General features: G+C 57.6%; 1 protein-coding gene across 6 annotated transcripts in view, besides 5 other annotated features; it reads right to left on the bottom strand.

Annotated features, from left to right (window-relative positions):
* Positions 1 to 16,243, bottom strand: part of EPHA2 (EPH receptor A2) — a 31,733-nt gene that overhangs the window by 5,855 nt on the left and 9,635 nt on the right. For 5 of the 6 annotated variants that reach the window (NM_001329090.2, NM_004431.5, XM_047448272.1 and 2 more), the window contains 12 exons: positions 8,084 to 8,239; positions 7,662 to 7,994; positions 5,464 to 5,579; positions 4,845 to 4,998; positions 4,277 to 4,376; positions 3,669 to 3,724; positions 3,290 to 3,415; positions 2,989 to 3,177; positions 2,187 to 2,248; positions 1,873 to 2,082; positions 1,530 to 1,679; positions 35 to 228 (listed from right to left, as the gene is read on the bottom strand). In NM_001329090.2, coding sequence (NP_001316019.1) covers positions 35 to 228; positions 1,530 to 1,679; positions 1,873 to 2,082; positions 2,187 to 2,248; positions 2,989 to 3,177; positions 3,290 to 3,415; positions 3,669 to 3,724; positions 4,277 to 4,376; positions 4,845 to 4,998; positions 5,464 to 5,579; positions 7,662 to 7,994; positions 8,084 to 8,239 — 1,846 coding nt within the window. The other variant, XM_017000537.2, reaches the window with a different exon arrangement.
* Positions 526 to 727: a silencer, noted in NCBI's record as "fragment chr1:16457212-16457413 (GRCh37/hg19 assembly coordinates)". NCBI's record gives its function as "represses an EF-1alpha promoter that drives an FKBP-Casp9 reporter gene in an ReSE screen in K562 erythroleukemia cells {active_cell/tissue: K562}" and the evidence as "EXISTENCE:reporter gene assay evidence [ECO:0000049][PMID:32094911]".
* Positions 11,180 to 12,147: an enhancer, noted in NCBI's record as "H3K4me1 hESC enhancer chr1:16467866-16468833 (GRCh37/hg19 assembly coordinates)". NCBI's record gives its function as "activates a minimal SCP1, AML or CMV promoter by ChIP-STARR-seq in naive H9 embryonic stem cells {active_cell/tissue: H9 hESC(naive)}" and the evidence as "EXISTENCE:reporter gene assay evidence [ECO:0000049][PMID:30033119]".
* Positions 11,481 to 11,530: an enhancer, noted in NCBI's record as "active region_259". NCBI's record gives its function as "activates an Ori minimal core promoter by ATAC-STARR-seq in GM12878 lymphoblastoid cells {active_cell/tissue: GM12878}" and the evidence as "EXISTENCE:reporter gene assay evidence [ECO:0000049][PMID:35858748]".
* Positions 13,659 to 14,186: an enhancer, noted in NCBI's record as "H3K27ac-H3K4me1 hESC enhancer chr1:16470345-16470872 (GRCh37/hg19 assembly coordinates)". NCBI's record gives its function as "activates a minimal SCP1, AML or CMV promoter by ChIP-STARR-seq in naive H9 embryonic stem cells {active_cell/tissue: H9 hESC(naive)}" and the evidence as "EXISTENCE:reporter gene assay evidence [ECO:0000049][PMID:30033119]".
* Positions 14,187 to 14,715: an enhancer, noted in NCBI's record as "H3K27ac-H3K4me1 hESC enhancer chr1:16470873-16471401 (GRCh37/hg19 assembly coordinates)". NCBI's record gives its function as "activates a minimal SCP1, AML or CMV promoter by ChIP-STARR-seq in naive H9 embryonic stem cells {active_cell/tissue: H9 hESC(naive)}" and the evidence as "EXISTENCE:reporter gene assay evidence [ECO:0000049][PMID:30033119]".

Below are 16,243 nucleotides of genomic sequence, written 5' to 3' on the forward strand. Positions count from 1 at the left end.
TGAGGTCATCATGGGCAGAGGGCATAGAACTCACCGGGGGTCAAAGTCAGCCAGGGTCTTGAGGGAGTCAGGGGCACGAATGAGCTTGTCCAGGATGCTGACGATGTCAGCGAACTTGGGGCGGCGGGCACGCTCCTGCTGCCAGCACTGCATCATGAGCTGGTAGATGGCGGAGGGGCAGTCCATGGGTGTGGGGAGCCGGAAGCCATCATTGATGGCTTTCATCACCTGGCGGGGCACGAAGGTCAGGGGCGCTGTTGCAGAAAGCCACTGAAACCCTCTGCAGCCTCCAGCCTATGGAGGTGGGCAGGGGAGGGGAGGGGAACAGGAACATCCCAGAAACAGACAGGAAGGGCCTTTCTTGAGCTGCCACCCAACCTTCAGAGCTGCCCAAAGGGCAAATGCCTAAGGGTCTGTGTCCAGAGTTCACTGGAAGGGACTTTTTTTTTTTTGACTGAGACAGGGTCTCAGTCTGTCACCCAGGCTAGAGTGCAGTGGCGCTATCACACCTCACGGCAGCCTCAACCTCCTGTGCTCAGGTGATCCTCCCACCTCCGCCTCCTGAGTAGCTGAGACTACAGGCACGTGCCAACACACTTGGCTAATTTTTTAATTTTTTGTAGAGATGGGGTTTCGTCATGTTGTCCAGGCTGGTCTCGAACTCCTGAGCTCAAGCGATACTCCTGCCTCAGCCTCCCAAAGTGCTAGGATTACAGGCATGCGCCATTGCTCCCAGCTAGAAGGGACCCTGCTCCCTCACAGGGCACCAGGCAGCAGCCACACTGTGTACCCTCAGCCCAGCCTCCCTCCCATCTCTCTTCCCCTCCCTCTCATCTGGCTGCCTTACAGTGCCCTTGGTCTTGGCAGAGATGTGACCTCTTCTGAGAAGCCTCCCAGGCCACCAGGCTGAGAGAGGCACCAAGCACACAGACACACACACACATGCATGCATGCACATGTGCACACATACGGATGCACACACATGCATGGACACACGGATACACACGTACACCCCACTCCTTTTTTCATCTCTGCACTCTCTGAATCAGCTCCTGGAACCCAGCACAAGGCCTGGCACGCAGTAGATCCTCAAGAAATATTTACGGGGCTGGGTGCGGTGGCTTACCCCTGTAATCCCAGCACTTTGGGAGGCTGAGGCATGTGGATCACCTGAAGCGAGGAGCTAGAGACCAGCCTGGCCAACATAGTGAAACCCCGTCTCTACTAAAAATACAAAAATTAGCTGGGTGTGGTGGCGCATGCCTGTAATCCCAGCTACTCGGGAGGCTGAGGCAGGAGAATTGCTTGAACCTGGGAGGTGGAGGTTGCAGTGAACTGAGATCATGCCAGTGAACTCCAGCCTGGGCAACAAGAGCAAAACTCCGTCTCCAAAAAAAAAAAATAAACATTTATGGAGCAAGCCTAAGAAGGTTCATCTAAACTGTCCTCTGCCCAGCCCCTGCAGTTTGAGATGAGTAAAGGGCTTGAGTTCAGGTCCGGACAGGCCTGGGGAGGGCAAGGGCACCCACCTCGTGGTTGGACAACTCCCAGTAGGGCCGCTCGCCATAGGTCATCACCTCCCACATGACAATGCCAAAGCTCCACACGTCGCTGGCAGAGGTGAACTTCCGGTAGGAAATGGCCTCCGGGGCGGTCCAGCGGATGGGGATCTTGCCGCCCTGCAGGGAACCCAGGCCCAGTCACCACTGTGCCCTCTGGCTGGCCCCAGGACCATTGCAGCCAAGCCCCACGACCCCTCCCTGGACTCCTACAGGTGTTCTGCCTCCTGAAGCACTGCCCAGGTGTGCAGGTGAGAGGACACCATGCAGGGCGAAGGCCGCTTCTCCCTTGAGGTCCCCTTCCCCAACTTACACTGGTGGTGTAGGTGGCCTCGGGGTCGTCCTCCAGCACGCGGGACAGGCCAAAGTCAGACACCTTGCAGACCAGGTTGCTGTTGACGAGGATGTTGCGGGCAGCCAGGTCACGGTGCACATAGTTCATGTTGGCCAGGTACTTCATGCCAGCTGCGATGCCCCGCAGCATGCCCACCAGCTGCAGCACGCTGAACTCGCCATCCTTCTCCTGCCGGAGCACAGGCGCTCAGCTGCAGGCCAGCCCTGAACCCGCCAGGCCAGCCCCGGGCTCAATGGCCAGGCATCCCCGCCCCCTACAACCCACATCCTTACCCGAAGGAACTTGTCCAGGGCCCCATTCTCCATGTACTCAGTGATGATCATCATGGGCTTGTCTGTAGGGGGGTGGGCACAGGTGAGAGGTAAGTGGGCCCAGGCATGTGGGAGAGGTGGGCACAGATATGGGGGAAGGTGGGCACAGGTGTAGGAGAGGTGGGCACAGGTGTGGGGAGAGGTGGAACAGGTGTGGGGAGGGTGGGTACAGGTATGGGGAGAGGTGTGGGGAAAGCTGGGCACAGGCGGAGGAGTGGGCAGAGGTATGGGGAGAGGTGGGTTCAGGTATTGGGGAGGAGGGCACAGGTATTGAGGACAGGTGGGCACAGGTGTAGAGGAGGTGGGTACAAGTATGGGGAGAGGTGGGCACGGGTGTAAGGAGGTGGGTACAGGTATCGGGGAGAGGTGGGCACAGGTGTAGAGGAGGTGGGTACAAGTATGGGGAGAGGTGGGCACGGGTGTAAGGAGGTGGGTGCAGGTATGGGGGGAAGGTGGGCACAGGTGTAAGGAGGTGGGTACAGGTATCGGGGAGAGGTGGGCACAGGTGTAGAGGAGGTGGGTACAAGTATGGGGAGAGGTGGGCACGGGTGTAAGGAGGTGGGTGCAGGTATGGGGGGAAGGTGGGCACAGGTGTTAGGAGGTGGGTACAGGTATTGGGGAGAAGTGGGCACAGTTGTAGAGGAGGTGGGTGCAGGTGTGGGGGGAAGGTGGGCACAGGTATAGGGGAGGTGGGCACAGTCACAGACAGAGCCCCTGCTAAGTGGCCCCTCTCCACCCAGTGTGGGCAGGCCCCAAGCCTCACATTTGGAGATGACGCCCTCTAGGCGGATGATGTTGTGGTGGCTGAACTGGCCCATGATGCCGGCCTCGCCGAGGAAGTCCACTCGCTGCTTCTCTGTGTAGCCGGCTTTCAGCGTCTTGATGGCCACCGGCACCTCCTTCTTCCCCGAGGATGTCTTCAGCATGCCCTTGTACACCTCCCCAAACTCTCCTGTGGGCAGACAGGGTCAGGGGAGTGCCCTGGTCAGCCCCGGCATGAGGGCTCCCACACTGTGTCACCACCGCTGCCTCCTCAGGGCCCCTTGGCAGGGGGCCAACCTCACCTGCTCCGATCACCTTCTGCCGAGTGACACAGGATGGATGGATCTCGGTAGTGAACTTCAACACAGCCTGGTTGGGGTCCTCATATGTGTGGGGGTCCACGTATGTCTTCAGGGGCTTCAGTTGTTCTGGAAGGAGAAGGGGTGGGGTCACAGGCAGCTCAGGAGGGGCCCCATGGGGGGTGCTCTGGAGTCAGAGGAGAAGGTCACGTGATCTTCAGAGACTTGGACCAGGCTGTGGGGGACGGACCCCTCAGAGCTGCCCACGGAAGCCTGTGGCCCCACCCCAGTGCCCTGGGAACACCCTGGCTGCCCCCACCTCCCCCACAGAGCTGGGGACGGTGCGGGCAGGGCTGGGCCTGGAGCGGGGGCTGCGTCTCACCTGACTTGGAGAAGTAAACGTCCTCCGGGGACTGGCGGGCACGCTGGTTCTTCCTCCTGAAAGAGCCCCACGGGGAACCAAATGCAGGGAGGTCAGTGAGGTCTGCTCCGGCCAGGGAAGCCTCCTGGCCCTACTTTGGTCCTAGGAGGACCTGGGGTGCTCAGAATGCGGCCCAGTCCCCGCTTTTGCTGCCCAAGCTCCACTCTCAGGGCCGAGGGTGCGGAGAAGGCGGGTGGAGGAACAGGGAGGAAGTGAGCGAGCCAGGACTCCCTCTCCAGGATCTAGGCCCCAGAATGGCCCCTTAAGCAGTCGTGACGAAGGCATTCCCATTAGAGCTACTCGGGGATTCCTGCCTGCGTGTCCAGAGGAAGTGTGGACACATCATTAATAACAACAAGAGCAGAGGTAATGACCCCCGTGTCCCGGCCCCGCCGCGTGCCAGGCACTTCGCTACACACTCTAACTCGTATATCCTCGCACCATCCGGAGGCAGGGATTAGACTCGACTAGCATCCTGTGGGCCCCATCGTTCAGATGAGGAAATGGAGGTTCCTGCCCCATTTTCCCACCCAAGCCCATGTGGAGCCAGGGTATGGGCTCTGACGAACCTGCGGTGGATAAAGAAGCCAACTCCTGCCAGCACCAGAAGCAGGACCACACCGACAGCCACGCCGCCAATCACCGCCAAGTTGCCAGATCCCTCCGGGGCTGGTGGAAGAAATCAGCTGATGACAAGGGAGTTCCCCCACAAATTACAGCAACACCCGCGCTGCACCCAAGACACCTGGGCCCCTACTGTGTGCTGGGTGCTTGCACTTGGGAAGGCTCCAGAGGGTACTTAGTCCCATTTCATAGACGGTCAAGCGGAGGCCTTCCCGAAGGTCTCACGGGAGGTATTGCAGGTATGTGGGGCTCAAAGCTCTGGCTTTTTCTGAGATGCGGATTTGAACTTCCTCACACCACTGTCGTGAATCCACATCCCGGCTCCTCCACCCCTCAGCCTTCCATGCTTCCCCCTCCCCAGGCTTGGGGGCAGTCCCCGAAGGGCTGTCCCAGGCCGCCGGTGACCGAGAAAGGGGCATTTCTAAGTTATTTGATTCACTTCCTTTCCCAAGATGTCTCAATTGCTTGGTTCTGGGCCCTGGCCTGGTCCATGCCCAGGGTCCCCCAACTCACACAGCGTCTGGAATTCGTGCACCTTGCTGCCGGCCCCCTGGCCCTCCTGCGTCAGTGCCTGCACCTGGACCAGGTAGGTGGTGTCTGGGGCCAGGTCGTCCAGGGTCACGGAGAAACCCTCGGTGCGGCGCACATTGTAGCTGTTGGAGTCTCCCTGTGGGTGGGTGGCCGGCGGAGGAGCAGGCAGTGAGGGCAGGGCAGGGGCCTCGGCTCAGCCCGCTGGAGACCACCCCAAGCTAGCAAGGTGGCTTGCCTTTGTTAGCAAACTTGAGGCTCTTCTTACAGAGGAGGAAACTGAGGCTCGGAATTAAGTGACTCACTCAAGGTCAGAACCACTAAATGCATGAGCCAGGACTCAAACTGAGTGTGTGGGGTCCCAAAATTCTGCCCCTGTCCTCACCCTGACTGCCTCTTCCAAGGACGCCATGTCTTCTCTCGTACAAATCTCTGCTGTGCTGCCTTGGGAGATGTAACCCCCTGGCAGACCCCAGGCCTCAGTTTCCCCATCTGCAGAAGGGTGCTTCTTCAGATGGCTGGGTGGTTTGGTGATCATCTATGTGACCAGCCTGTCCCCTGCTGTCGGCCCAGCTAGAGCCAGCCCCGCCCCTCTGGGAGTTACCTTCTTGCGGTAAGTGACCTCGTACTTCCACACTCGGCTCTGCTGCGGCGGGGGGATGCTCCAGGAGACGCTAAGCGAGGTGGTGCTGCGGCCCTCCAGCCTCACCTTGGGGGGCTCTGGGCAGGACAGGCAGTGGGGGAAGTGGGTAAGAAGCTGCCTACGAGCAGGCAGGGTTTGGGGGGACAAGTGGACGTGGAGCCACATCCTCCACAGCCCAGATTCTTTCATTTTTTTGAGACAGGATCTCGCTCTCTCACCCAGGCTCGAGTGCAGTGGCATGATCTCGGCCCACTACAGCTTTGAACTCCTGTGCTCAAGTGATCCTCCTGCCTCAGCTTCCTGAATAGCTGGGGCTACAGACACATGCTACTGTACCTGGCTAATTTTTGTATTTTTTGTAGAGATGGGGTCTCCCTATGTTGCCCATGCTGGTCTCAAATGCCTGAGCTCAAGCAATCCTCCTGCCTCAACCTCCCAAAATGCTGGGATTATGGGCGTGGTCACCACGCCCAGCTCCCAGGCTCTTTAGATCCCAACCTAGGATCCTAAACTTTCAGCTCCAGAGCACAGGGCCAGAGCCCCAGGCCTCCACCCTGGCCCCATCACAGGGGCTGGCACATCAGAGGTGCCCCATATTTACGAGTGCATAAATAATAATAATAATAATAATAATAATAATAAAAGGCCAGGTGTGGTGGTTCACCCCTGTAATCCCAGCACTTTGGGAGGCCGAGGCGGGAGGATTGCCTGAGGTTGGGAGTTCGAGACCAGCCTGACCAACATGGAGAAACCCCGTCTCTACTAAAAATACAAAATTAGCTGGGCATGGTGGCGCATGCCTGTAATCCCAGCTACTCAGGAGGCTGAGGCAGGAGAATCACTTGAATCCGGGATGCAGAGGTTGCGGTGAGCCAAGATTGTGCCATTGCACTCCAGCCTGGGCAACAAGAGCAAAACTCCGTCTCAAAAAAAAAGAAGAAGAAGAAGACAGAAGAAGAAAGAAGAAGAAAAGAAGAAAAGAAGAAGAAAGAAGAAGAGGAAGAAGAAGAAGAAGAAGAAAAGAAGAAGAAGAAGAAGAAGAAGAAGAAGAAGAAGAAGAAGAAGAAGAAGAAGAAGAAGAACTAACTTTTGCTGAATGCTTTCTTTTTTTTTTTTTCTTTTGAGACGGAGTTTCGCTCTTGTTGCCCAGGCTGGAGTGCAATGGTGCGATCTCGGCTCACCGCAACCTCCACCTCCTGGGTTCAAGCGATTCTCCTGCCTCAGCCTCCTGAGTAGCTGGGATTACAGGCATGCGCCACCACACCCAGCTAATTTTTTGTATTTTTAGTAGAGATGGGGTTTCTCCATGTTGGTCAGGCTGGTCTGGAACTCTCGACCTCAGGTGATCTGCCCACCTCAGCCTCCCAAAGTGCTGGGATTACAGGCATGAGCCACCGCGCCCAGTCTCAATTCTCAATTATTATCCCACTTTACAGGGGAGAACATTGAGGCCCAGAGAGGTTAAGTAACCTGCCCACAGTCACAGAGCTCAGAAGCGGCTCTGGAGCAGGAGTGTCCAATCTTTCAGCTTCTGTGGGCCATAATGGAAGAATGGTCTTGGGCCACAAATAAAATACAGCAACACTAACAACAGGTGATGAGCTAAAAAAAAAAAAAATTGCAGGCTGGGCGCAGTGGCTCACGCCTGTGATCTCAGCACTTTGGGAGGCCGAGGCGGGCGGATCGCAAGGTCAGGAGATCGAGACCAGCCTGGCCGACATAGTGAAACCCTGTCTCTCCTAAAAATACAAAAAATTAGCTGTGTGTGGTGGCACGTGCCTGTAATCCCAGCTACTCCAGAGGCTGAGGCAGGAGAATTGCTTGAACCCGGAAGGCAGAGGTTGCAGTGAGCCGAGATCAAGCCACTGCACTCCAGCCTGGGCAACAGAGCGAGACTCTGTCTCAAAAAAAAGGGAAAAATATTGCAAAAATAATATCATAATGTTTTAAGATAATTTACGAATTTGTGTTGGGCCGCATTCAATGTCGGCTGGGGCCACATGTGGCCCACGGGTTGGACAAGCTTGCTCTAGACACTGTGCCTTTAACCACTTGCTCTGCTGCCTCTCTCTAAACACACCCGAGCCCCAGATGGCCGTCCTCCTTAAGCCCCACCTGGGCAGGCCCCATAGGGCACAGCTGCCACCCCTGGACCTCACCTGTCTGGTTGATGCTGACACTGGCAGTACGGAAGCTGCGGCTGGTTACCAGGCCTGAGACGCCATTGCGGGCCTCCACGGTGAAGGTGTAGTTCATGTGGGGCTCCAGGTCGCTCACTGTCACACTGGTGCGGGTCAGTCCGTGAGGAGGCTCCGAGTAGCGCACACTGGCCTCACACGGCCCGCATTCCCCAGACTCGGGCCAGCACTGTTCGCAGGTGACGCTGTAGACAATGTCCTCGCGGCCCCCGCTGTCCTGAGGGGGCGTCCAGCGCAGCTCCACCTTGGCACCCATGCCCACGGCTGTGAGGTAGTGTGGGGCGGAGGGGGGTCCTGCACAGACAGGAGGAGTCAGTGCTGTGCTGGACCCAGGCGGACACGTCACCCTCAGTCACGCCACCCTGACCCACTGCAAGACTCACGTGTGCAAGGCATCGACGCTGGGTCCTGAGGTGCCCGGAAGAAGCCTTCCTCACACTCGCAGGAGGTGGCACCCTCAGGGGATGGCAGCGTGTGCTCAGGGCACTCCAAGCAGGGGCTCTCAGATGCCTCAAACTTAAAAAATCCAGGCGAGCAGGCTGGTGGACACAGGACAGACAGAGCACAAGGACATCAGTTCAATCTGCTTCCACCCCACGTGACTGTCTCATTCCCTCACCAGGGACCCCTGCCCTGCAAGCAGGTCAGTAAATCTCTATGGACCTGTTTTCTCATCGGCAAAATGTCTTGTGATGGAAAAATGCATGGCAAGGGCCTAGCATGTACCGGGCACCCAGGAAGTGCTTCACACACATGCTGCAAACCTTTGCTTCACTCCCCACTGGCTCCTGCAAGAAGCACCACGCCCCTGAGCCTGGCATTCAAGGCCATACCTCGCCTTTCAGCCAACCAAGAATCCCATCACAGCCTAGCTCAGCACTTGACCAAGCACGCTGCCCACCGGCCTCATCCCCTTTCCTCCATGCAGACTAGCCTGTCCGGTCCCCACCTGGGTAGCTGAGAGCTGCCCAGGGCAATGACTGCCTCTTCTTGACCATGTGTGTTTGTTGACTGTCACCACCACCCTGACTCACTGGCCAGCCTCATCAGTTCAGGATGCCATCCCTGCAGGTGTTACCTCCAGCCCAGGACCTGCCCTCCTTTCCATCCGGGGCTGACCAGGAAGCAGGAAAGGCCAAGCCCCCTGGCATTTTCTCTGGCTCTGCTTCCAGGACCGAGTCATATCCGCCACTCACAAGGACAGCCAGGAAGTGACTCTTCCTCCCCCAGTGGCCAGTCCTGTCCTGGCCCAGCAGGCTGGGGGCTCAGGCACCTGACTCCGGGGGCTTCTTCCTCCCACCGCCCTATCCTGTCTCATCCCGCCCCTGCCCTAAGCCCCTTCCTGGCCCTACAGGCAGGAAGCTGCCCAGACACAGGGCTCACGGTGCAGGGCTGTCCAGGGCTTGGGCAGCTGCTGAAGTGGCCAGGGTGGGTAGAGGTCACCCTAGGGAGCTCCTCCAACAACCCTACAATTATAATCCTTCAGATTGTTCTGATGAGAGGGTCCTGAGACACCTCCAACCTCAGCACCGTGTTCACCACACACACAATGATCCTCTGCTCTGTGCCTGGCCCACCCCCAGTGCTGGGTATGCACCAAGATGAAAACAAACTCCTGATCTCAGGGAGCAGAAGCACCTGACAAGGTCTGCAAGACAGAGGGAGGAAACAAGCTAACAGCTAAGGGGGTGGAGAAGGGGAAACAACCTTGGCCAGGAGTCTGAGAAGTCACAGAGGGGACATTTTGGCTGGGGTTCAGAGGCTGCATAGGAGTTCAGCAGGGGAATGATAGATGTTGGGAGAGGGAGTTAGGAGTGAGAAAGTGCATGACTAATACGGAAGGTATGAGTGGGTTTGTGGGCACAAATGTGGGGAGCAGCAAGCAATAAAACAGTTGAGAAAGGCCTTCAATGCCAGGCCAAGAAGCTGGGACTTTATCCTGGAGGCAATGGAAAGCCGCTGGAGGTCTGATGTGGAGAAGTCAGACCCCTGCCGTCAGGAAAAATCTGTGCCTGGAGGCAGCTTTTGTCCAAGACCCTGGGGACAACCTGGCCCCTAATGGCCTAAGGACAACCCCCTCCAGGGAAGCAATTTCAAGTGCCCTGACCCAAGCAAACCTGCTAACTCTCAGGGACAGAATCTGGAGCGAAGACTCTCGTCATCCAGTCCCCTGTGTGAGCAGAGGTGCAGAGGGGGACCAGGAGTCAGGGGAACAGGACTCAAAGGACACCCAGCTCTGTAAGGTGCCAGATAGTGACCTCCTGCTGATGACTCTGCTCTCAGAGCCAGGCTGCATCCCTGTCCCCTCCCAACCCTGGCCCAGGGACCACACAAACAGCCGCTCTCACCCCCTTGGTCCATCCTGCTTCTGCAGACCCTCAGCATTGGCCCTGCAAGAGCTCAGGCACATAGGGCAGGGAAGGGGGCTTGTCCCAGGTCATGCAGCAGGACAGAGGAGGCCCGGGACCCGACTCCTGCTCTGCACAGAGCCTGGAGTCCCAATGACAGTACCTACTATGCGCAGGGCTCGGGCTAAGCACTGTACCCTCATTTAGTCCTCGCAATAGACCTGCTATATACAGGCACTATTAGCGCTGGTTCCACTTTGGAGGTGAGGAGAGACAAAAAAGCTTGTCCAAGGTCACCAAGCTCCCAAGAAGGAAACCAGAACTCAAACTTAGGATGCCTGATTTTCAGCCTCTCTCCTCTCCCACTCCTTTTTCATTATTTATTTATTTTGTTTTTGAGATGGAGTCTCGCTCTGTTGCCCAGGCTGGAGTGAAGTGGTGGGATCTCAGCTCACTGCAACCTCCGCCTCCTGGGTTCAAGCAATTCTCCTGCCTCAGCCTCCTGAGTAGCTGGAACTACAGGCACCGGCCATCAAGCCTGGCTAACTTTTGTATTTTTAGTAGAGATGCAGCCTGGTCTCGAACTCCTGGCCTCAAGTGATCCACCCGTCTCGGCCTCCCAAAGTGCTGGGATTACAGGCGTGAGCCACCGCGTCCGGCCTATTTTATTTTTTAGAGACGGGGTGTGTCTTTGTTGCCCAGGCTGGTCTCTTGACCTCCTGGCCTCAAGTGATCCTCCCACCTCGACTTCCCACAATGCTGGGATTACAGGCGTGAGCCACCTCACCGGGCCTCCTTTCCCACTTCTGTTCTTAGGAACACTTCAATTTGGAGCAAAGATAAATCAACATTCTGAAACAAGCCTGAAGAGAGAGGAGATAAGGCCTGACCCACTTCAAAAGCCAGAAACTCCTGACGAATTTCAGAGCAGCTGTGGGTCTATGTGTTGTGGAGGAGGGGAGGGTATTCCCCACCACAGATCTTCTCAAACTGGGCACTTTTGTGTCTGTGAGCAGAAAAGTGTAGACTCCAGCCCAGGGGGGTTGGTTGGGGTGGCTGAAGTGGTCTCCTTCAAGCCCCGAATGTCTTCAAGTCTCCTATTGTATTTGGAAACCCATGAGTATATTGCATCCCTCCCCATAACATATCTGCATGATACAAAAATAGCTCTCTCCTCCACCAGATCTGTGAGTAAAACTGAGACTCCAGAAAGCTGGGCCATGTTTATCCTGGGGTCAGTTCCCCCAAATGCCCTGACTTGTCTGTGGAGGAGACTTCACCTGGCTCAGTGCTGGTTCAGGTGGTCCAGGGCCAGCTGACTTGGGAAGCTCGGGGGCGTTCCCAGCCCAGGCTCTCAGGCCAGGCAGGGGCCATAAACCCCCACAGCCCAGGCTCGGACCCACTGGAGGCTTTAGCCACCTGCAAACCCTCACAATGCCCCGACTCCCCACCGTGTGGCTGCTTCTATGCCAAGAGGAGGAAGTGGGGGAAGAGATGGGCTCTTTGGCCCCAGCGCCCGGGGGTGGCCTGCCTGCCTGCTGCCGCCAGGAAAGAGGGAATTTGGAGAGATTTCCGCTGCGGATGTGCCAGATAATACAGCAGAGAGGCAGCGTCAACAGGGCATGTGCCTGCCTGACGAGATGTGCTTCCCCTCCTCCAACCACAAAGCTACCAGGGGCTGTCTCCAGGGCCCCGCCAGAGTTTCCAAGTGCTCAGGGGTCCCAGAGTTCATGAGTAGGACACCAGCAAGCCCCTGTGTTCTTCCTGACTTTATCTAGTTGGATTTCCTGGCATTCTAGGCGGGCAAGTGGGGACAGGGGTCACACACACTCAAACACACCCACATACACCAGATACCTACTGTTCCTTAGCCAACCAGCAAACTCCTATGCATCCTTTAATACCCAGCTTAAGCTCCTCTACACAGCCCTCCCAGACTGCCCAATTCCTGGCCCCCCGGCCCCCATTAGGGCATCTATTAATCTTATGTTTACCAAATAGAAATGGGCACTTCATACGTGTCTGGCACAATGCTGGGTGCTAGGATGCGATGGTGAGACAGATAAACACTGTTTCAGCTCCAGGGGAATTCAAAACTTGGCTTTTATGCTCCATTTGAAATTATTCCTGCATGTATCAGGAGCTTCCGTGAGACCAGCAGCTCCTGAGGAGCAGGAATGGAGACCAATTTATCTGTGTCCCATGGCCCAGCGGTGCTCAGTTAATGTTTGCTGAATGGATGGACAGACAGATGGATGGATGGATAGATGGGTGAGTTGGTGGGTGGATGGGTAGATGAGTGTGTGGATGGATGGGTGGGTGGATGAATGGATGGATGGGTGGAGGGGGGTATGAGTGGGTGGATGAATGGACAGATGAATGGACAAATGGATGGGTGGGTTGGTGGGTGGACAGGTGGATGAGTGGATGGATGGATGAGGGATGGATGGGTGGGTGGGTGGAGTGGTGGTTGGATGGATGGATGTATGGATGGGTGGGGAGGATGGACAGATGAATGGACAAGTGGATGGGTGGGTTGGTGGGTGGACAGGTGGATGAGTGGATGGATGGATGCGGGATGGATAGGTGGATGGCTGGGTGGAGGGGTGGATAGATGGATGGATGGGGCGGAGGATGGACAGATGAATGGACAAGTGGATGGGTGGGTTGGTGGGTGGACGGATGGATGAGTAGATGGATGGATGAGGGATGGATAGGCAGGAGGGTGGGTGGGTGGAGGGATGAATGGATGGATGGATGGATGGATGGATGGATGGGTGGATAGGTGGGTGGTTGGGTGGAGGGGTGGGCAGATGGATGGGTGGAGGGGGGTATGAGTGGATGGATGGATGGATAGATGAATGGACAAGTGGATGGGTGGTTTGGTGGGTTGGCGGGTAGACGAGTGAATGGATGGATGATGGATGGATGGATGGATGGATGGATGGATGAATGGATGGATGGATGTAGGGGTGGATGGGTGGAGGGGTGGATGGATGGATGAGTGGATGGGTGGACAGGTGGATGGAAGAGTGAGTGGGAGAGAGAATGGGTGGCAAACCTACCATGTGCATGTGAAATATGCACTCCAGGGCCAGAGAAATGAGCAGTGTTTCAGCGCCCAGAGAGACACTGTGGAGAAGGTCCACCAGGATGCCTACCTGCCTTACACAAGAGCCTAACTTTGGCACACCTGTGGCACACCTGTGGAGAGCTGTTCTGGCCCCGGTTGTCTGGCAGGCCTGGGCTACTCCGAGCAGGGGAACTGGGGCACAGTGGCTGCACCTCCGGCTATACCCTGGTTTTTCCAGTTCCTGATGCCCGCCCCTCAGGTGGCAGCATGAGGTGACTCAGGGACAGACGCCCTTATCGTGACGCAAGTCCAGCCCCCAGTGGAGCCCCTCCTCCCAAGGCACAGCCACCTCCCAGGCTGGCAATGGCAAGGTTGTGAGGTCAAGAGGTCATGGTGGCAATTCACCTAGGGCCAGTCACCGCCCAAGCCAGGCCCAGCAGGTGACCGCAGGAACCACCTTGGCCCAGGGATGTGGAGCTTGGACTTTGTCTCTGGGCCCTGACAGACGGCAAATGGCGACCTATGGGTTACTGACCCAGCAAATGAGGGAGCTGACAACCTCAGGCCCTGGTGGCTTCTTGCTCCCAGCAGGCCCTGTCGTCTCTGCAGAAGGGGGGCTGCCCCCAGGGCCTGACGGCTGCCAGCACCCTGTCCCTTTCACACACACCCTAGGGAGCTATCTGCAGGCACATTCCTCCACCATTGATAAGCACCACTCCCCACCTCAGCCCCCGCCTACCGCTCCTGTCCTGCCTCCAGCCTTTCATCTTCTGTTTGCTTTCCCTCGCCTCCTTCCTTCCGTTCTGGGGACCCACTTACCTCCAGGAGGGAGAGAGGGAGGGAGGGAGAAGCCGGTGCCCGCCCAGCGGAGATGCCAGCGCCTAGCTTTGCCCCCAGTGTGAGCTGAGGGTGGGGCAGACAGGGCACAGAGGTGAGAGCCACCATGGGGGGCTGGGGGTGCTGCCACCGTGGTCCCACCTCTGTAGGCCAGAAGAAACATCACAGAAATAAGGCCTGGTGGGACTTCCCAGCAGGGGACAAAGCCTGCGAGCCACAGCCAGCAGCTCCCAGAGTCTTCCACCTGGGGGACCAACTGTGATCTGATGAAACAGGAATCCTGCCAGCAGCCCCTGCCATGGCCCGAGACCACCCTGTCTAAAGACCACCTTAACCACAGACATACCCTGGCCAGGGGACTCCTCCCTGTCAGCTATGGACTTTAGGCCACTGGGGCTGTAAGCAGTGGGACCCCTCCTCACCACACTTGTGTCACACAGTCAACAGCTTCCCCGGTGTTCAGACTGAGCCCCAGTGGGAAACCACAGGAGGGAAGCTCGGATCACCAGGTTGACAGCGTCCTTCAGGGCCACAGGTCCAGCCCACTCATTTTACAGATGGGGGTGGGACCCCAAGGGGACCTGCTAAGGTCATACAGCCTGTGGGTGGAAGGACACACACCAGGGGCAACTGCCTTCCTGTGCCAGGCCCCCGTTCTTTTGGTCACTGTTCACTGCTTCCTCTCCGGACCTCAGTTTCCTCATCTGTAAAATGGGGATCAAGTCCTCATCCTCTCTGGGTTGTGTGTGAAGATGGAAGAAAGCCCTGCTTATGAGATGTCCAGCATGGTGCCTGGAATGCGGTGTCCCTATGAACTAGGGGATCATGAAACTACAGTAGGGAGGGGACCTCCCCAAGGGGCTGGGCCCCTTGAGGGAGCAGGAGCCTCTCAGGAGGGAATCTCCAACTCCCCACAACCCCAGCTCTGGCCTCCCAGCTGTTCAGCTGAGCCACTGGCCAAGGCTGCTGGCCACCTGCTCACCTGACCAGCGGTCCCCAGGGCTGAGGCGCCAGCAGGGGCCCCGCCAGCTGCTGAGGCCAGCACAGGAAGCGGAGACATGGAGACAAAGCAGCCCCCGGGGGACAGCGGTCAGCCCGAGCGACTCCACTGTCCCCGCAGGCAGGGCCGGGGGCAGGGCGGGGGAACCAAGGGAAGCTGGCTCATTCCTGACATAGTTCATGGGAGCGCTCCGGGCAGCGTGCCCACCTGCCGCACACAGCACCTGGGAGGTGCCTCCCTTCCTCTGCCCACTTAACTCTTTCCTGAGCTCTGGGCTTCCTGGGGAAAGAACCCTGAGGAGAAACGGACAAACTGGGAATAACCTAGACAAGGTGCCAGGTGACCTCAGGGTGCCCCGCCTCGCTCTGGGTCTGGTTTGTCACCAGCAGGAGCCCCAGTGAAAGAATCTGGGTCTCCAGGCCTGGGGAGGGTCCGGCAGGGAGGGCAGACCCTGTGCCTCCCTCTGGTTCTCCCTCAATGTACCCAGCAGTGCCCTCTCCAGGACCCCTGCCTCCAACAGAGCCCCCAAGCCCCTGCAACAGACCCTGCCATCCCCAGGGCTGGCCAGAGAGCCTACCCCAGGGCCAGGAGCTGAGTCAGGGATTCCAAAGGAACTGGTCACTTCCCGCCCCATTTCCTGACCCATCCTGCAGCCTGGGCGCCGCTGCACCGCCTGGATTCAGATCCTGATGCAGCCACATCCTAGCTGTGTGACTTCAGGCAAGCCTCTTTAGCTCTCTGAACCTCAGTTTCCTGGTCTATCAAATGGGATTGATCACAGTCCCTGCCACGCAGAAAGGCGGTGTGGATTCCGCTCGCATGTCTGATAAAGCGCTTGCTTGGCTCAGCGCCTGCCCCTCGGACGACACCCGTCTACGGTAGCGACTGTCATCACTTCCAGCAGCAGCATGGCCAGGGGCTGCTGAGAGAAGTCTAGAGGTATAAAGAGGAGCCAGCCGGGCGTTCCTGGCATCTCGCGCACCGGCACCCAGCCACACTGAAAGGAATTTTGGTGGGAGGATCCCGAGGAGGAACAATCCGGCAGTAGGTGACTAGCGATTGACAGGGTTCCACGAACTAAGTCGGAAATTTCGCTCTTGGAAACTTGTCCTCCTGCTGGGCTGATCTTCCCAACAGGGGGCTGCTCGGCTCTCTGCAAACAAAATCTGCCAGAACCCTGACCCCCCACCTCTAGAGGAGGGAAGGCTGCCCCGCTTCCTGGAGAGACACCCCCACCCCAACCGTCCACTTATCTCTGCGGGGCCTGCCTCACCAGCCTGTGGAA

The sequence above is a fragment of the Homo sapiens genome, chromosome 1 (genome assembly GCF_000001405.40).
Source record: "Homo sapiens chromosome 1, GRCh38.p14 Primary Assembly".
Taxonomy (NCBI): Eukaryota; Metazoa; Chordata; class Mammalia; order Primates; family Hominidae; genus Homo; species Homo sapiens.